This window comes from Homo sapiens, chromosome 3, assembly GCF_000001405.40.
Source record: "Homo sapiens chromosome 3, GRCh38.p14 Primary Assembly".
NCBI lineage: Eukaryota > Metazoa > Chordata > Mammalia > Primates > Hominidae > Homo > Homo sapiens.
Genome location: NC_000003.12, coordinates 164,019,889 through 164,041,562, shown reverse-complemented (window position 1 = coordinate 164,041,562; position 21,674 = coordinate 164,019,889). Strand labels below are relative to the sequence as shown.

At 38.4% G+C, this 21,674-nt stretch overlaps 1 long non-coding RNA gene across 1 annotated transcript in view; it reads left to right on the top strand.

The window, feature by feature from the left end:
* LOC102724419 (uncharacterized) overlaps positions 1-13,369 on the top strand; it is a 169,359-nt gene extending 155,990 nt beyond the window's left edge. Inside the window, exons 4-5 of the long non-coding RNA XR_001740997.2 lie at positions 10,867-11,303; positions 11,781-13,369. This is a non-coding gene — a long non-coding RNA (uncharacterized LOC102724419). The remainder of the gene's footprint in view (positions 1-10,866; positions 11,304-11,780) is intronic.
* The last annotated feature ends 8,305 nt before the right edge of the window (positions 13,370-21,674 follow it).

The following is a 21,674-nucleotide window of genomic DNA, read 5'->3' as shown; positions in this document are numbered from 1 at the left end:
ACAGGGCAAAGGTGATGGGGTATGATTGAGTTTCAAACAATTTATGTAGTCCCACAAATTACTGATCAACACTAGTGATCCCTTTATTCAATAAGCTCGAAAGCTTCAATCTACATCTTGAGAATGATTTGTTTGAGCAGGTCTGGGTTCCCTCTACCCATAGTTTAGTGACAGTCTTCAAAATATCCTTTGTCCTTCTTTTCTTTATTAACTTTTCTGTCTTCTAGTGTTCTCAACAGCATGGCACTTCCTAGACACAAAGCCCTTACTGACTCAAGTAGAATAGATTGCTGACTTAAATTCCATGGAGGTCACCTCTTGGGCTTGCTATAGTTGTGAATCAGTCTCTTTCACTACATTTCACGCTGTGGTAAAGGCTTCAACCCAAACTTTTTAATCATAACAGGGAAGGACAGCTGGTATTCCCCAACTACAAGTTCTGAGTTAGCAGAAAAGCATGGCCAGAGACCACAGACTGCCTGTTAACTGCTGTTATCTTTTCAGCAGAGGAGTCAATGCAGTTTAAATGCCCCGCAATTGAAGGGTCAGGATACCTTTAATGGATTCTTACTGCTGGGCCTGCTAGACTTTTGTGCACTGAGATGATGGAACACTACACTTACTTCTGCCACTATCTATTATTTTTTCCTCATAAAATTTAGTCCAGCCAGCCTTTTGTGTGGGCTGCTTGGCCACTCATTGTTATTTGCTTGATATTCTCAAACTTTGGTTCTTATATTGAAATGAAATTTTATGCTGTTCTCAGAAAGGTAAAGAAAATTGATGTATATTTAGTTAAGTGGCTCATATCTCCTATCCCCAATCTAACAAAATATTGATGTTACATGATAAAGTAGATGGCATCTTAGCACAGAGAAATAATGTGCCGTGCAATATTTCAAACAATCAAAGTAACCAACTTAGTCTTAAAAACCAAAAAGCATTCAAGAACATTCACATGGTACTTACTCTATACATCAAGATAATCCCCAAGGTGGTCATTGCCATTATTTAAGAGAAAATGTTTTAAATGTAATTGCTTTTTCTATCAGATAATCATTTATGATACCTGGCAGTGTGTGGTATCCATTAAGTTTTATACTGTTGAGTATGATTTTATCACATTTTGAAAGAATATTTTTCCTGAACATAGAACCCAATTTTTCCTTTTAATGGCTGTTTTTGCTTGAAAAGTTGGTCATCAATTTATTTAAGGAGAATTGTTGTTTCATATTCCTTTGGCACAACATAAAGCTTAATAGAAACTGAAATGTCAAGAATATTACAAAAGTACTTCATACTTGTTTCAACTGTAGAATTAGCTATTTACTTAATTATGGCTTTATCAATCATAAAATACTCCATGTTTCTAATATAAACACCTCAATGAATAGTAGAGTGAACAGCTTTTGCTCTTACATGCAGAGTTTTTCTGTGACTGGAGATAAACATGAGATCTACCTACATTGAGAAATGTGATTTAATCAGCTAAATATTAGCATAGGTAGAGCCGAATTTTGCTTTTACTGTGATATGCCTATGCATCAAAAAATAATAGAGTTGTAATAACAAGTTTCTTTATTGTTTTCCTATTTATACATTATTTTTTGGCAGGAGAAGAAGTAAAAATTAGTAGACAGGCAATGGAGATCAAAGTATGTGCATGTAGGACAATTTTGAATAATTAAAACAGGAAATGTGAATGTGCTCATTAAAAGAAATTCAACAACATAATGTCAGTAGGTTCCATATACAAGTGTTATGTACAATAATTTAGGTTATGAGAGTAAAATTTAACATTTAAAAATATTTTAAAATATTTTCTTTTTTTTAATTTATTTATTATTATTATACTTTAAGTTTTAGGGTACATGTGCACAATGTGCAGGTTAGTTACATATGTATACATGTGCCATGCTGGTGCGCTGCACCCACTAACTCGTCATCTAGCATTAGGTATATCTCCCAATGCTATCCCTCCCCGCTCCCCCCCACACAACAGTCCCCAAAGTGTGATGTTCCCCTTCCTGTGTCCATGTGTTCTCATTGTTCAATTCCCACCTATGAGTGAGAATATGCGGTGTTTGGTTTTTTGTTCTTGCGATAGTTTACTGAGCATGATGATTTCCAGTTTCATGCATGTCCCTACAAAGGACATGAACTCATCATTTTTTATGGCTGCATAGTATTCCATGGTGTATATGTGCCACATTTTCTTAATCCAGTCTATCATTGTTGGACATTTGGGTTGGTTCCAAGTCTTCGCTATTGTGAATAATGCCGCAATAAACATACGTGTGCATGTGTCTTTATAGCAGCATGATTTATAGTCCTTTGGGTATATACCCAGTAATGGGATGGCTGGGTCAAATGGTATTTCTAGTTCTAGATCCCTGAGGAATCGCCACACTGACTTCCACAATGGTTGAACTAGTTTACAGTCCCACCAACGGTGTAAAAGTGTTCCTATTTCTCCAGATCCTCTCCAGCACCTGTTGTTTCCTGACTTTTTAATGATTGCATTCTAACTGTTGTGAGATGGTATCTCATTGTGGTTTTGATTTGCATTTCTCTGATGGCCAGTGATGGTGAGCATTTTTTCATGTGTTTTTTGGCTGCATAAATGTCTTCTTTTGAGAAGTGTCTGTTCATGTCCTTTGCCCACTTTTTGATGGGGTTGTTTGTTTTTTTCTTGTAAATTTGTTTGAGTTCATTGTAGATTCTGGATATTAGCCCTTTGTCAGATGAGTCAGTTGCGAAAATTTTCTCCCATTTTGTAGGTTGCCTGTTCACTCTGATGGTAGTTTCTTTTGCTGTGCAGAAGCTTTTTAGTTAAATTAGATCCCGTTTGTCAATTTTGGCTTTTGTTGCCATCGCTTTTGGTGTTTTAGACATGAAGTCCTTGCCCATGCCTATGTCCTGAATGGTAATGCCTAGGTTTTCTTCTAGGGTTTTTATGGTTTTAGGTCTAACGTTTAAGTCTTTAATTCATATTGAATTGATTTTTGTATAAGGTGTAAGGAAGGGATCCAGTTTCAGCTTTCTACATATGTCTAGCCAGTTTTCCCAGCACCATTTATTAAATAGGGAGTCCTTTCCCCATTGCTTGTTTTTCTCAGGTTTGTCAAAGATCAGATAGTTGTAGATATGTGGCGTTATTTCTGAGGGCTCTGTTCTGTTCCATTGATCTATATCTCTGTTTTGGTACCAGTACCATGCTGTTTTGGTTACTGTAGCCTCGTAGTATAGTTTGAAGTCAGGTAGTATGATGCCTCCAGCTTTGTTCTTTTGGCTTAGGATTGACTTGGCGATGCGGGCTCTTTTTTGGTTCCATATGAACTTTAAAGTAGTTTTTTCCAATTCTGTGAAGAAAGGCATTGGTAGCTTGATGGGGATGGCATTGAATCTGTAAATTACCTTGGGCAGTATGGCCATTTTCATGATACTGATTCTTCCTACCCATGAGCATGGAATGTTCTTCCATTTGTTTGTATCCTCTTTTATTTTGTTGAGCAGTGATTTGTAGTTCTCCTTGAAGAGGTCCTTCACATCCCTTGTAAGTTGGATTCCTAGGTATTTGATTCTCTTTGAAGCAATTGTGAATGGGAGTTCACTCATGATTTGGTTCTCTGTTTGTCTGTTGTTGGTGTATAAGAATGCTTGTGATTTTTGCACATTGATTTTGTATCCTGAGACTTTGCTGAAGTTGCTTATCAGCTTAAGGAGATTTTGGGCTGAGACAATGGGGTTTTCTAGATATACAATCATGCCATCTGCAAACAGGGACAATTTGACTTCCTCTTTTCCTAATTGAATACCCTTTATTTCTTTATCCTGCCTAATTGCCCTGGCCAGAACTTCCAACACTATGTTGAATAGGAGTGGTGAGATAGGGCATACCTGTCTTGTGCCAGTTTTCAAAGGGAATGCTTCCAGTTTTTGCCCATTCATTATGAAATTGGCTGTGGGTTTGTCATAGATAACTCTTATTATTTTGAGATATGTCCCATCAATACCTAATTTATTGAGAGTTTTTAGCATGAAGCGTTGTTGAATTTTGTCAAAGGTCTTTTCTGCATCTATTGAGATAATCATGTGGTTTTTGTCTTTGGTTCTGTTTATATGCTGGATTACATTTATTGATTTGCGTATATTGAACCAGCCTTGCATCCCAAGGATGAAGCCCACTTGATCATGGTGGATAAGCTTTTTGATGTGCTGCTGGATTCGGTTTGCCAGTATTTTATTGAGGATTTTTGCATCAATGTTCATCAAGGATATTGGTCTAAAATTCTCACTTTTGGTTGTGTCTCTGCCCGGCTTTGGTATCAGGATGATACTGGCCTCATAAAATGAGTTAGGGAGGATTCCCTCTTTTTCTATTGATTGGAATAGTTTCAGAAGGAATGGTACCAGTTCCTCCTTGTACCTCTGGTAGAATTCGGCTGTGAATCCATCTGGTCCTGGACTCTTTTTGGTTGGTAAGCTATTGATTATTGCCACAATTTCAGCTCCTGTCATTGGTCTATTCAGATATTCAACTTCTTCCTGGCTTAGTCTTGGGACAGTGTATGTGTGGAGGAATTTATCCATTTCTTCTAGATTTTCTAGTTTACTTGCATAGAGATGTTTGTAGTATTCTCTGATGGTAGTTTGTATTTCTGTGGGATCGGTGGTGATATCCCCTTTATCATTTTTTATTGCATCTATTTGATTCTTCTCTCTTTTTTTCTTTATTAGTCTTGCTAGCGGTCTATTTTGTTGATCCTTTCAGAAAACCAGCTCCTGGATTCATTAATTTTTTGAAGGGTTTTCTGTGTCTCTATTTCCTTCAGTTCTGCTCTGATTTTAGTTATTTCTTGCCTTCTGCTAGCTTTTGAATGTGTTTGCTCTTGCTTTTCTAGTTCTTTTAATTGTGATGTTAGGGTGTCAATTTTGGATCTTTCCTGCTTTCTCTTGTGGGCATTTAGTGCTATAAATTTCCCTCTACACACTGCTTTGAATGTGTCCCAGAGATTCCGGTAAAATATTTTCTAACTAATGAAATAAAGTACAGAATTTATACACTTTATGGATCTGGAAGAAATTATTATTATATATGTTAAGAATTTTGTTCAATGAAAATTATACAGAATGCTTTGCCTGCTATTTTGGAAAAGGATATGTATTTATTTGTAGGGAGATTATATCTCACTACAATTTTACTTTCTTTTTTCTTTTTCTTTTTTTTTTTTTGAGATGCAGTCTCACTCTGTTTTCCAGGCTGGAATGTGGTGGCACCATCTTGGCTCACTGCAATCTCCGCCTCCCAGGTTTAAGCGATTCTTGTGCCTAGGCCTCATGCCCGGCTAATTTTCTGTTGTTGTTGTTTTCAGTAGAGATGAGGTTTCACCATGTTGGCCAGGCTGGTCTCAAACTCCTGGTCTCAAGTGATCTACCTGCCTCAGCCTCCCAAAGTCCTCGGATTACAGTCATGAGCCATCGTGCCTTACCAAAACTTTCTGAAACTGAGTAAACGTTTTTAAATATATTTATATAATCTCTGTGTACTATTAGAAAACCAATGTATTAAGAAACCATTGATTTCTTTTTCAGAATTTAATTTTAAATTCTGTGGTTTTACAATTTTATAATTCTAATTCATGTTTAGCTGATGTACCATGCATTTAGAAATATATTTAATGAATAAATCACTAACATCTAACATATACTAAGAACTTGTTATGAATTTGTCATTGATTAGGGCAATTAGATTTGCATAGCTAATTTCTTTCTCATAGTCATCCTTAAAGCTATGCATCATTATTCAGATTTATTGATGTGGAAACTGACACTTGCATTGATTAAGTAAGTAACCTATAGCAAGTAATCTAGTTCCAGATAAGTTCATTGAAATCCAAGCCATCTTATCTTACTCAGGGGGAGAGGAAGTAACAAGACCTGTCCTGCAGAATTTCATAAACATGTGGTCCCTGTCTAATTCATCTCTTGCCTAGGACAAAAGAATTATGTAATCCAATTTTAATTATTGGTTTTTGGTGTGTATTTAAATTCTGTCAATTCTCATTTTCCCTCCTAACTTTTTTTCCATCGGCTAAGAGGAACCTTATGAAGAACACAAGCAAGCAAGACCAATCATATGACACTGCTGTGGGCAATAAGCCTCATCAACTCAATGATTTATGACAGAAATGTCCTACCTTTTTAGCTGGGCAAGCTCTGAGTTCATGGCTTTTTCACTTCTTCATTATAAACTAATCCAGCTATTTGAGTTCATTTTCTCTCAGCTAATTTTTTTTCAGTGGATTGGATAATTTCTAATTCAAACTTTTGTCTTAATATTGCTGATCCCATCTGTGCACCTCTCTAGAATCTTATATTGGCTTTCTCTCCCTACACCCCACTCCATTTCATACTATCCAGTGCACATTTTCGCAGCATTCCCAAAAGTCTACTTCTCCAGGTTAAACTACAGTCAGTCTTGGTTCCATACAGTACTGATGTGAGTCACAAGGCAGTCTGCTCATTCATCTCCTTTATAGTACTGTTTTAGGACACAGGATTTTTTTTTAAGCAATAGGAAAGGCAAACATGTTTAATATAGAACATAGTAAATGTCTTAATTAAAAAGTGGTACTATTTCCACATCTCATTCTGGGGCACAAATATTGACTCTTACCCATTTAAAGCCTAATTCTACAGAGACTTGAATGGGGTTAATTTAGGACACACACATCTGGATGTGTGTATTTCTCAGAATATTTAAGCCAAGTACTTAGCAGCACACACCACCTAGATTCACACATGGTACCCTCAAATAGGAAAGCTATTGCCCTTATCTGCCTCCCCCCATCCCCAGGGGGATTAATTTTAAATTAAGAATTATAATCTACTGCTCAGCTTTTATAATTCCCAAACTCTAAAGCGTATGTATATATGACCAAATACTTTTGATCATGACCTTTCTGGAAGCAAAGCTGGTATTTAATTATAGAGTGGTTTTAAAAGCCTCTGGTTTAACTTGTACTATTTCCTTTTGCACTGGATTATAGATGATCTGATTTATGGGGCACATTTACTTAGAAGTTGTTTAGAGTTTTTTTTTTTCTCTCTCTCTCTTTTTTGCTTGATTTATTGATTAACTTACATTCCAATTTTCTTAAAGTATTAAAGAACCCTAGGTAAAACAGTTAATAAAGTAAATAATCTAATTCAATGTGTTGAGTAGTTAAAACCTCAAGTCCACATTCAGAGTCTTTAAAAATTGAAAAATACCAGTAAAATCATATTATATTAGCTTAACCATAGATAAACTATTGTTGTTTTTGTTATCTAAAATTTATGAAAAAGTTACGATATTTCCCAAACTTTTCACAAATATCAAATTATACAAAACAAGACTTTCAATCTAAAAATATCTTCTTTCTTACACTTTTCACTTTTCTACCAGATTTATTAAAATTTTATTTTTGAAAACTCTAAATTAGATTATTCTATTGCTTCAAATCCAGTTTTGCCATTGGTATAACACACAGACATTGTAGCATGACATGCAATGTCTTTATATACCGACGTTTCTTAATTTTCTTACATTTTTTTATCATTTGCTACAAACAATCCGTGTCTTATTTTTCCTTTTCCTAAATGTCCCTACTAGTCTCCAAATCAACAATATTGTCCCATCCCTCCATGCCTTTTTTGTTAATGCTATCTTCTTTTCATGAAAAGGACTATACTTTTTCTATAGTCAAAAAATTTTACTTTGTTAAATATTCAACTAAAAAGCCACTCCTTTGAAGCTTTCTCTATTTCTTATCTCTAAGATTACTTATCCTCCTCTCTAGCCTCTTTATATAGATAACATTTGCATCTGTATATTTATTTACAACATTTTCTGAAAAGCATAACACTATAGCACCAGCATTAGAATCATATGATTATGGGAAAATTAATAATTTGGGGACCCCCCTCAGAAACTACCCAATCAAAAAGTGGTGACATATAGTAACTGAATTGTAAATAAGCACTCCAGGTCATTCTTATGGGAATTCAGAATTGAGAACTACTACCCTTGATGATGAGCTTCTTAAGGACAGACTATTTACTGGTCTTTTATTTTACTTCTAGAGATAATAGGTTAAAGAAAATAGTACTTAGGTATATAACTCTCAATATATCTTCATTAAAAGAATGGAATTACAGTACCAAAATAACAATGCCACTAAACCCTTTTAGTGCTCTGCTAACAAAAATACGTTCAGCAAAAAAGGTGGAATTTGTTCTTACTTATTAATTATACTATTCATCCATGATTTCCAAATCTATTTTTGGTTGTGAAAAACCTTTAAATTAAACAGTAGTACAGAGATTTGCCACTTGGCTAGAACTCACTTCTTATTACTCCACCATTGAACCGGTAGAGCAGAACATCTTCGAACCCAGATTGAAAACATTATATAGATACAAATATTAATGTAGAACTCTTGAACATTAGAAATTCTAATGAATCACTGAGTTTATATTTAGTTTACTGACACATTATATCTAATACAAATGTGTAAAAATAGTCGTATATTCTTAGGCCATGCATTTGAATATTTTAAAAATATATTTTAAAATTTTATGTTGAATAGGTTGGAGTGATTGTACAACTGCAAACAACTATTCTCAGCTACTTCTTTCATCCTCCTAGTCCCAGTAATTAATCCACATCATTGCAGCCAGACAACTTTCTAATGCCTGTAAAGGGAAGAATTTCGGCTAACACTATCTAAGCACAATTTGACAAAGAAGATGAACAGAGAAATAAGGAAGGACATGACCAATTGATGGCTTCTACTGAAGTTCATTCCTTCCTACACATAATTTTTTACTTTGCAATGATTCTTCTTTTAATGTATCGTTCTAATTACTAAATTAGATCTTAGCTCTAAGACAGAAATATACATTATCTTCAACATATTGAGTTTTTGAAAGTTGTAGCAGTGCTTTTGTAACTTGGCTAATAGGTACAAAAATATAGTTAGATATAAAGATTAAGTTCTAGTATTTGATAGTATAATAGGAAAATTATAGTTAACAATAATTTGTATAATTTAAAATAGAAGAGAAGAATTTTAATATTCTCAACACAAAGAAAAGATGGATTTGAGTTGATGGAAATCCCAATTACCCTTATTTGATCATTACACATTGCATACAGTATCAAAATATCACTTGTACCCCTAAAATATTTACAACTTTTATAAACCTATAAAAAACAAAAAAAGGCATCTCTAGTTTTGTTAATTAGAATGTAAACAAGTGTTAAATCAAGTTTTACCTGAAACTGCCTCCTTACATATTTTAAGTTCTGCCTAAAGTTTTTTTTTTTCCATATACAGTGAACAGCAACATAACTGAATGTGTAAACAGACTGTAACCTACTCTTATGCCAATCACTGAGTTTTAGCCAAAGGTGGCCAACTGTTCAAACTGTATTCAAATAAGGCAAACACTAAGCTACTGAGCTGTAAACAGTTCAACTGTCTGTACCTCTTTATTTATTTTATTTTATTTTTGAGATGGAGTCTCATGCTTGTTACCCAGGCTAGAGTGCAGTGGCGTGATCTCCATCTTGGCTCACTGCAACCTCTGCCTCCCGGGTTCAAGTGATTCTCCTGTCTCAGCCTCCCAAATAGCTGGTATCACAGGCGCCCACCACCAGGCCCAGCTAATTTCATTGTTTTTAATTTTTAGTAGAGATGGGGTTTCACCATGTTGGCTTGACTGGTTTCGAACTCCTGACTTCAGGTGATTCTCCTGCCTAGGCCTCCCAAAGTGCTGGGATTATAGGCTGGGCCACCACACCCAGCCCTCACTTCTGTTTTCTATACTTCACTTTCCTTTTCCTGTCCATAAATCTTCAACCCAGCGGTAGCACTGTAGTCTTTATGAATCTGCTGTGATTCTGGGGTCTGCCTGATTCAGGAATTGTTATTTACTCAGTTAATCTCTGTTAAATTTGTGTAAAGTTTTTCTTTTAAAACAAGGTAGATTTTTAAACAATTCTTTGATGTGGATCCTAAGCTCTTGCTCATTCAATTTCAAGGACCATAGAAAATTAAGTCTAAATTTGGAAAGTATGTTACAGTTTTAAGTTAGATTTTCAGGAAGTTGAATATTAAGTTAATAATTTCTAGCTAATATGTGTATCTTTTTTCTGCAAAAACATTTAAATACTTTATTCTACACATTAGTTTATTTTAAATATATCATTTTGCTGATCATGAGGAAACTCACATCAATTGTCATGGAACACCTCTTTCTGGCCTCATAGTTTTAGTTCCCTGATTTCCAATTTCTGAAGCTTGGAATACAAGTTTGAAATTAGAGAAATGTTTATGAAATTTTTATTGGTTTTAATGTATGCCTAAAGTGACTAAAACTGGAAAAATAATGGGGTGGATAAGGGATATTCCAAGCAAAAGGCACACTGTTGGGGAAGAATCTTTGATGGTAAAGAGTAATATCAAATGGAAGAGCGCAGATCTATCTTGTTAATCAACACAGGGCTTATGTTGAAAATTAGTGAAACATAATGTAAGAGATATGCACAAAGCAAGATCAGGTAGATTTTAAAATATAACTTTAGATATGGTATGGAAGAAAAAAATACAGAAGCTCTGAAGCAGATAGAATTCGTTTGATGTAGGGCTGAAATTGAAAGTTCAAACTGCAAACATTAAGTACTTGTCTAAGGTTCTGTGGTTATTTCTACCTACTCTTGTGGGGCACATAACACCCCACTGGGAAGACTAGGGATGGAGAAAAGGTATATAGACTGTATTAGACATGTAAATATTTGACCATTTCTTTCAACTGTAGGTGCTGAAAGTTGTGATACCTTTCCATACCCATCATAAGTCTCACAACTGATGCTGTCATAACAACAACAACAAAAAGGTTAACAAGAGAAAAGCGTAACAATTTTATTAAATCAAGTTTTTACATGATTTTGGGAGGCTTCAGAAATAAAGACCCAAAGACCCAGGGAAAATTATCCATTTTTATGCTTAGATTCGATGAAAAATTGACAGCTGAGTGGAGATGTGATTGGACAAAAGGGTATGATCTAATGGTAATGGACTGAGAAGGAGATCTAGCCGGACTTGTTTGTTCAGATTCTTCTTGGCTTCTCTACGTGGCATTCCTTCCTCCTAGTGTGGGGCAGAACCCCTCTGAAACGATAGAAGGAAGAAAGGAGAGAGAGACACCTTTCTAAACTTTTAAGAAAACTTCTTTTTCTATCTATAAGCCAGGAGGTAAGTACAAATTAAATGTTGGTCTTCATTACTACCAGTAAACTTCCTCAAACTGCTGCTAGAGAATGATTTAACATGCCACAGAGCTTTGCACTGTAAAGAAAGATTAAACAATGAATATTGCTAAAAGACAGTCTAAATGCCAAAATAATATTCAGCACAATATATGTTATGACAATGTTTCTCAAATTGTTATCCCTATACTACCTGAATCAGGATCACCTACAGTGCTTGATAAAGTATAGATATCTGGTCCTGCCACAAATTACTTGATGACACTTTTGAGGGGAGGGGAAAAAATACCATTATTTTTCAGTGAAAATATCACAGGTGATTGTTATGTTTGCAATGCTTCAGAATAGAACAGTTGTTTTCAATGGTTAAGAACAGACCAATTAGGACATGCTTATGTAGCTAATTATGAAGAGCTGTTAATGAAAATTTGAATATTCAAACCTCTCACCAATTATTCCACAGAAGCATGGAAATGATATGAATTGATGAAAAAGGAAGATACTGGAGCTCCTTTAAAGAATGCTGTCACGCCATAAGTGGAAGTACTGTGGTAGAAGAGAGACTATAAAATATTGATGGACTATTGACCTGAGGTAGCAAAGGAAGATAAAAGCAAATTCTCTGAGTGCACAAAGAAGCTACCCGTCTCCATAGTGTGGAAAAGAACTTCAATATTAACATCAATAATGAGTTATCGTTGTCTGAAATACATTTTTCTTGTTACCATATCAGAATTGTATTCATTTCAGTTTCAGAGAAAAAAAACATATTTTTTTAAATTTCATAATTATGTTTTCTGTTGCATAAGAACAGTTCACGTGGAGAGGTGCTTCGAAATATACATCTTATTATCATTAAATCCTAGCCATTGTGGCTATCTTCATAAGACAGTCCAACAGTTGAGCTGTTTGGGAGTTTATTTGCTTGGTGTCTTGATTTTAAGTTATTAAAAAGTTGTACCTGCCCAAATGTTGTTCATGCCTGAAAATAATGTTCATTGAACTTAAATTTTCCCATTCTAGGATCCTGCACTTGGCAGCTTTGTGTTGCTAGAAAAACTCATATTGCCAAGAAAATTGGAGGCATTACATATTTATGGTTTCCAACTTAAAGTAGAATCCTAGAGTGCTCAGCATTCCTTTTCATGGCATTGTACCTCAAACAATAAAAAAGAAAAAAAGAAAGAAAAAAATAAGCTTATCAGAAAACAAACAAAAACATGTGCATTTGTATTCACATTAATTCTCTTCATGGAAACCCTTTCTCTACTTCCCTAATCCACAAAAAGATTTCTTTTTAAAATTAAGCTCTAATATTATGTGTTCAGTGAAATTTGTCTTGATTTTACCATTCTTCTCTCTTCCTTGAAATCATAATTAGTTGAAGTTGTGTGTGTGTGTGTTTATAGCATATTTTATACATTTCTATTTAAACTTTAACTTGAAACATTTGGAAGCATATAAATCTTTCTCACTGGTCTTTGTGATCTAAAAATCAGAAACATTGTATGAATCATGTTTCTGTCTTCATGGCCTTGTTGGAGCTCAGAAACCAATACACCAAACTATGACACTTTGATGTGCTAAACTGAAGAATCCTCAACATCTCTCTGATCTGAGCCTACTCTTCCTGTCTCTCAAACCTGCCTCTTCCAAAGAACAGGATGAAGTTGTTCTTGGAAGTTACCTTATCTGCCTAAAGTCTGGACATAACAAAAAAGAAAACAAGTATCTCAGGTCCCTTCTCTTGTGTTTTACTAACTGAATTCACATTGCAGGAAGACTGAAGTCTATCAACACACCTGAAGAGACTTCAGTGACAAACCAGTGTTCTGCCAACCCAACAGACTTTGTCCCAGGTGACTGTATGTTCTTCAAGCCTATTGACTCCCCCTAAAAATTATTTACTATCCCCTAAAATCATCCACACTTTATATATCTCTTTCCCTAAGAGAAGGGTATATAGCCATCTGTTCCCTATCGTCTGGTGGGGTAATCACTCTGTGGTTCTCTTGTACACATCAATAAATTTGTATCCTTTTATTATATGAATCTACCTTTTGTCGGTTACTTTTCAGTGAAACTTCAGAGGGTGAAGGATAAAGTTTTCCCTTGGCCCCTACAGCCTTTTATTATCAAACCTAAGAGGTTCAGTGACTGACAACACCATAATGAAACAGATTCAGTAGACGCTGATTTAAAAAGTACATTAAAGAATTGATGTAAATAGACCAAGGCAAGTTTTAATAATGTTAGAATTATAAAGAAAATTAAATTGCATGAGATTAAATAATTATAAAGACAGCCTAGATAGCTAATTATATTTATAACTTATTCTCCCATCTACAGTTTTTTTTAAACATTCTGATTTAAATAAAGGAGTGCTATATTTTACTTGTTAATCTAAATTTCTGATATGTCTCTCAATTTAGTAATAGAAAACTATATTATTTTGTAAATAATTTTATCTTAAAATTTATATATAGTTCAAGTTCCATCCCTGGTAGATACACAAGTATTTATAATTTTTATTTTGCAAGAGAATTTGAAATAAAATTTATAAAGTAATTTGACCTTTACAATTGACAATTTGAATTATGCTTTGCATTTGCCTAGTTAGGGGTTAATTATGAAAATGATAAAATTAAAATAATGTGTATTAAAATGTCATTACTAGATAATATAAATCAACAAGTTTATTTAAGGAGACTCAGTGTTTAAAGAATCAAAGTTTGTAATTTGTGTCATAAGCCAAATATCTAAGAACATATCATTTATTTCAAAAAAGCAAATTTTCATTCTAGAATATTTGACAAATTTTTTTGACAAAAAAATGACAAAAAAATGAAGTGACTGGGCATATTGTATCTAACTCCCTTTATATCAAATTAAATATATTAAAGACATTTTTTCTTAATGTGACATCTATACAATATATTCTTTAAAATATTTGTGTGGATAAATATATAAACACACACAGATACACACAGACTGACTCTACCATATTTAATACTACATTTTATTATTTTTTGTCATATCAACTTCCTAGTTATTCAAAAAATGATTTTTTTCTTCAGTTACAAACATATAAACACTTTTGTTAAGTTCCAAAAACATGTTGATTATATTTAATCTCATCTTTCATTATTTTAGAACAAAAATGCTACACTCTTATCAGTTTAAATAATTTTATTTAGCTTTATCTCGATTTGTTTCAAAATATAGTTAGTTCTTCAATGTTATGCCTTTTTTGATACCTAAAATTAGGGCATTTTGGCTACTGAGAAAAATGAAGAGGCAAAAATTCACTCTGACCTTCTTCCACCTTTCTTCTAGTCTAAAGCATGGTTATAAAATAATTATTTTGCCTCCCTCACCTGAAAGTAGGTCATAAGACCCTCATTCCGAAAAGTACTGCCCTCTGCCTGGAGGCAAAGAAGAATCTGAACAAACAAGCCTTGTTAATTTCCTCCCATTTCATTACTATTAGGTTGTACTTTTTAAGTCCAATTGTGTTTCTCTCCACAACTACCCACTTCTTTCTTCAGACTTAGCATAAAAACCCAGTTTTCCCTGGCCTTTGAGTTTTTGCTTTAAAAATCTTCTATGTCATGTAAATCTTTGTTTAAATAAATTTGCGATGTTTTTCTTTTGTTGTTCTTTCTTTTGTTATAGGAGTGCCAATAACCACCCTTGCAATGAGTGAGGAAAAGATATTACTTTTTCTCTCCTACATCTAAGCAAGATAATTATTTTGTCGGCACTTGAGTCAGTCTCAGTTTTAGCACTATATATTTAGTTGCATTACTTATTTTCTAATGTTACAAAGGAAATGAATAATATTTTAGAAGGAAAAGTAGAAATATTAGGGAAAAGATATTTACAAATAAAATCAAATTCAGAGTAGAGTCATAATTGTCACTGGACATGAGGAAGAATTATTTTGATTTTATTGATGAATAAATGAAAGCCAGATGAGAGTGACATAATCACAATATTTAGCAAGGAATAATTTGGGAACTCTCTTCCAGGTGAAAAATATGAAGAGGGACCAGGGAAGGGGATTTGCATTCTTAAGAAATAAATTGAACTAGGTGTGGATTACTTTGTGTTAGGTTCCATCCAACTGGACTGTTTCCCCCTCCCATAGACCTAAGCCCCAGAGGCCAAAAAGTAAAACCTCCTACCCCAAACCTGCCTGTAACTGTTTGACCGGAGGCCAGCTGTCCCAGGATGCAGTTAAGACGTCTACCTTGTACCACAGAACTGGCAAGAAAAGCATCTCCAGGAAGCAGTCAGACACCTGGCACAAAGGACCCCCGCCCCGTGCCCCCTTTTATTTTTCCTACACCCTGAGCCAGTTCTACACCCTATAAAACCTTACTATAGCCTGTAAGCGGGGCTGCCTCCTCTGCTTTTATCAAGAGGTAGCCTGGCAGGACTGACAATAAATCAGCTTGCCTGAACTTGGGCCTATTGGCCTTATTCCTTTCTTGGCTGTCCTTCCAATTATCCCTTACATCTTGGTGCCAAAACCCAGGAAGGTGGTAGAGTTCGACTTCCCCTTCTCCCTCTCTCCTTCCCTCCCCCTCTTCTCCCGGCTGAACTCCCCCTTCCAGAACCTTCAGGAGACCCAGAGGATTTCCTACTCCTTTCCATTGCTGGCAGACACATCCAACACCAGGGCCACCTCAGGGGGAGTAAAGGAGACTTCTGCCTTCTGTCTGGAACCCTTGTCCGCTCTTTCCCTCCGGAAAGACCCAGCGCTGGGCCAACGGTTTCCTCCTCCCGGCCTCCAGACCCTCGGTATTTCCCTTGTAGGGATGCCTGAACAGGGGATTATTGCACCTCTCCGACTTGAACTGTGGGACAGGGGACGCCTTCTCCCTTCGTTCTAGTCTGCGGCCAAGTCTCCCATCACCACCTCTCCCTCACTCATTCTACCATGGGAGCCTCTGAGTCCACTCCCTCAAAGACGTCCCCCCTCGGATGTCTCCTCCATAACCTTAATGCCCTCGGCCTCTGTTCCAAAATTCGGCCAAAAAGGCTCATATTTTATTGTAACACAGCCTGGCCTCAGTATAAATTGGACAATGGCGCCCAATGGCATTCGATTTTAACATCCTCAGGGACCTAGACAACTTTTGCCATCGCAATGGAAAGTGGTCTGAAATCCCTTTTGTTCAGTCCTTTTTTGTCCTCTGCAGTCGCCCCTCCCTTTGTCAGTCCTGTTGTGCTTTCCAAATCCTCTTCATCCGCTCCAAGCCTGACTCATCCTTCCTTCTGACGATTCTTTCTGTCAGAAGAAGCTCCCCTTCCTTCTGACGATTCTTTCGCTTTTGACACTGCTGACTTCCCTCTGCCCAGTCAACATAATAATCCTCTGCCTGATCATCATGACCCTCTGCCCCACGCTCCTGCTCCTGCCCTCCCTCCTTTCCCCCTTTCTCCAACGACCCAGCTTCTGACTCTGATTCATCCCCATCTCCACCTGGTACCCACTCTCGAACTCAGCATCCCCAACAACCAGCCCCCATACTTCCCCTCTGAGAGGTGGCCAGAGCCAAAGGCATCATTCGCGTCCACACTCCCTTCTCCCTCTCTGACCTCTCCTAAATTGAAAAACGTCTCGGGTCCTTTTCCTCCGATCCCGACAGTTATATCAAAGAATTTAAATACCTTACCCAATCTTATGAACTCACTTGTCATGATCTCTACATTATCCTGTCTTCTACCCTCCTTCCAGAAGAGAAGGAAAGAGTGTGGCTCACAGCACAGGCACATGCCGACTATCTTCATCCACAAGACCCTACTAAGCCTGTAGGGGATGCTGCAGTTCCCCCGGAGGAACCCCCCTGGGAGTACCAACCCACTGACCCTGGCCGGGCATCTCATAACCATATGATTACTTGCCACATCGCAGGCCTTAACAAAGCAGTCCATAAGGCCATAAATTTTGAAAAGCTCAAATAAAACTCCCAAAGAGCCGATGAAAACCCCGCCGAATTTCTTTCCCACCTTACAGAGGCCCTCCAAAAATATACCCACGTTGACCCCACCTGCTGGGAAGGAGTTATTGTTCTTAATACCCATTTCATCTCTCAGTCTGCTCCTAACATAGGGTGCAAACTTAAAAAGGCCAAAGATGTCCCTCAAACCCCACAACAAGACCTCCTTAACCTGGCTTTCAAAGTCTTCAATAACAGGGATGAGCAGATTAAATTAGACAAGGCCCAAAGAGATCATGCTAAATACAGGCTTCTGGTAGCAGCTATCTGTCAGCCTAGCCATAGTACCCAAGGGCACAAACAACCCAATTGCAGTAACCCCCCTGGCCTTGTTTTAAGTGTGGCAAAGAAAGTCACTGGGCATGGGCATGTCCTAACCCAAGGACACCAAAAGTTCCTTGCCCAGCCTGCCAACAGACCAGCCACTGGAAGTCTGATTGTCCTGTTAACAACCAGGCTAACAGACCAACTCTTCAAAGCCCTGGCAAGGCAGAGAGTGAAAGATTGCTCACCCTCCTGCAGCTCCTTGGCCTGGCTGCTGAAGGCTGACAGAGCCCAGGTCCCCCGGCGCCATCTGCCATCACTGCATCAGAGCCCAGGGTAACTCTGCTAGTAGCAGGTAAGCTGATCTCATTTTTGGTCGATACCGGGGCCACCTACTCAGCTTTGCCTGAATTTTCAGGACCCACTCATCCCTCCCAGGTCTCTGTTGTGGGGGTTGATGGATTCATCTTACATCCATGTGCCACTGAGTCCCTTACTTGCTCCTTGTTTAATACTATTTTTTCACCCTCCTTCCTTATAATGCCTGTTGTCCCACCCCCGTTCTAGGCCGAGGACTTTTAGCTAAATTCAAAGCTTCCATCACTTTTTCCTGCCTCTCTCAACCAGAGTCCCTTCTGCTCCTCTCCGCTAGTCCAGCCACTGACGCTTCTCCCCAGTACCCGCTTCCCTCTTCTCTTCTTAACCTGGTGGTGTGAGATACCACCACCCCTTCCATAACTACACATCATAACCCCATCAAAATCCAGTTAAAGGACCCCTCCAAATTTCCTAATGTTCCCCAATACCCCATCTCCCTAACCCACCAAAAGGGCCTCCAACCTATTATAAACAAGCTGTACTCATGCGGCCTTCTTAGACCAACACATTCTCCATATAACACCCCCATCCTCCCCATTAGAAAATCGGACGGCTCATACCGACACATTCAGGACCTCTGAGCCATTAGTCAGGCTGTCTTCCCTATTCACCCTGTGGTCCCTAACCCCTATACACTCCTCTCCCTCATCCCCTCCAACACCACCCACTATACAGCAATTGACCTAAAGGATGCTTTCTTTACCATTCCCTTACACCCTAATTCCTAAGATCTCTTTGCCTTCACCTGGACTGACTCTGACACTCTTCCGTCACAATAACTCACATGGACTGTCCTCCCTCAAAGCTTCAGAGACAGCCCTCACTTCTTTGGACAAGCTCTAGCCCAGGACCTCACCTCCTTAAACCTTTCCCCCAGCAGCTTCCTCCAATACATTGACGATCTCCTTCTTTCCAGCCCCTCCCTAGAGGACTCCCAAACTCACACCATCACCCTTCTAAACTTCCTTGCTAGCAAAGGATATAGGGTCTCCCCCTCCAAAGCCCAAATATCCGCCCCAACAGTAACATACTTAGGAGTCCAACTCTCCCCCCAGGGCCCAAGCCATGACCTCAGCACAAGCGACCTTAACAAACAGCTTGCCTCTGCCTTCTTCAAAAAATGAAATTCTCTCTTTCTTAGGATTGCCAGGTTTCTTTAGAATATGGATTCCCAACTTTGTCCTCCTGGCTCAGTCCCTCTATGAAGCAGCCAAAGGCCCCCTCTGTGAACCCCTAAGCCCCCCACACAACATATTTCCCAGTTTCTGGAAACTCCAAACCACTCTCATCACTGAACCTGCCCTGTCCTTAGCTGACATCTCCCAACCCTTTGTTCTCTATACAACTGAAAACCAAGGAATAGCTCTCAGGGTCTTAGGGTGACAAAAGGGAAATCTTCCTTCCTTTGCCCTGTGGCATACCTCTCTAAACAACTAGACAACACTATCAAAGGGTGGCCAACCTGTCTTAGAGCATTAGCAGCAGCGTCCATTTTAGCTCTGGAAAGCAAAAACTAACATTCAGCCAAACCACCACCGTCCACAGCCCTCACAACTTACAGGATCTCCTCTACTCCTAGGCGCTAAGCTCCCTCCTTCCCGAATTCTGTCACTCCATGCTGTCTTTATTGAAAATCCCAAATTCAGCCTCACCAAAAGTGCCCCCCTCAGAATCCCTACTCCCCATATCCTCTTCCCCTCCTACTCATTCTTGCACTGACACTCTGGATCACCTGCAGCCACACTTCCCTAACATCTCCTCCAAGCCTCTCATTAACCCAGATGACCAACTATTCATAGATGGCTCCTCTTCTGGAGCCCCTGGCTCTCCCCAAATTGCTGAATATGCAGAAGTTACCTTAGACTATGTAACTGAAGCTAAAGTCTGACCCCCAGGAACCTCCTCCCAGAAGGCAGAACTTCTAGCTCTCACCAGAGTCCTAACTCTCTCCAAAAAAAAACGGGTCAACATATACAAAGACTCCAAGAATGCTTATCACATTCTTCGTTTCCATGCCACCATCTGGCAAGAGAGAGGATTCCTTTCCACCAAAGAAACCCCCATTATTTAAGGCCCCACTATTTACCAACTCTTTCAGGCCTCACACCTCCCAACTGAAGCAGGAGTCATACATGTCAAGGACATCAAACAGGATCAGATAAAATATCAAGAGGAAATAAAAAGGCCAATGAGGCAGCAAAACAGGCCTCCCTTTCTTCTATCCCTGCCCCCATCCTCCTTGCCACCCCAGCAGTCTGACCCAGATAATCTCCCACTGAAAAGGCTTCGCTACTACAGCAAGGAGCCTCCCTTCAAGGGGACTGGATAATCAAAAACCAAAAGGTCATTCTTCCCCAAGAGCAAAACAAGGAAATTCTAACATCTCTTCACCAATCCTTCCATATCGGTGGGCGCCCCCTGTACCTACTCCTTCACCCTTATTTCTCCTCCCCCCATCTATTCACCTCAGTAAAGGACATAACCTCAAACTGTCATTTATGCTCTGTTACTTCCTCCCAAGGGACCCTCCGCCTTCTCCTCATCCTTACACATCATCTCAGAGGAACACTTCCAGGGGAGGACTGGCAGGTAGACTTCACCCACATGCCTCCCGTCAAAAAAACTAAATATCTTCTTACCCTCGTAGACACTTTTTCAGGTTGGGTAGAAGTATTTCCTACCCCTTCAGAAAAAGCTGCAGAAGGCTCTCAAATTCTCATGACAGAAATCATCCATAGATTTGGTCTCCCTCACTCCACACAATCAGGTAATGGCCCTAGCTTCATCTCCCAAATTACCCAACAAGTCTCTCAATCCCTTGGCATTCAGTGGCATCTCCATATCCCATACTGGCTCCAGTCATCCGAAAAAGCTGAGAGGGCAAATGGAATTCTCAAAACCCAGTTAAGCAAACTCACACTTGAGGTCAAAAAACCTTAGACCTCCCTTTTACCCATAGCACTGACACATATCAGAGCCAGTCCAAAGGCTCCCTCCTTCCTCAGTCCATTCAAGTTAATGTATGGACGCCCTTTCCTCTTACAAAACAGACTGACCCCCTCCTGACTCTCAATTAGGAGCGTACCTTCCAACCCTCTCCCTCATCCATCATCTCCTCCGTGAACAAGCTGACCAGGCCCTCCCAAAACTTCACCAAGGCCCCACTGACCAGACACTCCTTCCAGGAGACTATTTCTTCCTAAAAACCCTTACTTCAATGAGTTTCAAACCAAAGTGGTAAGGCCCTTTCCAAATCCTTCTCACTACCCCCACCACAGCCAAACTTCCAGGACACAACTCTTGGTACCATCTTTCCAGGTTAAAAAAGGCCCCTGCAGCTGGCCCACCACCTACTAACCGACCAGCTGTTCCCTGCAAATGTACCAGCACTCTTCTCAGACCAATTCGACTCCACCTAATGCCCATCCCGGAAGACCCCACTCTTCCCCCATGAACCATCACAGATAGGTTATAAGCCCTTACCTTAAGTATCCAAATTTTATTAATGAAAATCTTCTATTACGCTGCCCTTGCAGTAATCACCCTGCTTACTCTACTCTTTGTCATAGGACTATATATGGTCTCACCTCCCAGGTGGAATTTCAGACAAAAAATCTCAATATTCATAAACTTTTGCCTCATAATCCTCCTTATAGCAGGTATAATAGCCACCAACAGATAGCTGCCCCTCCTAAATGTCCTGTCTT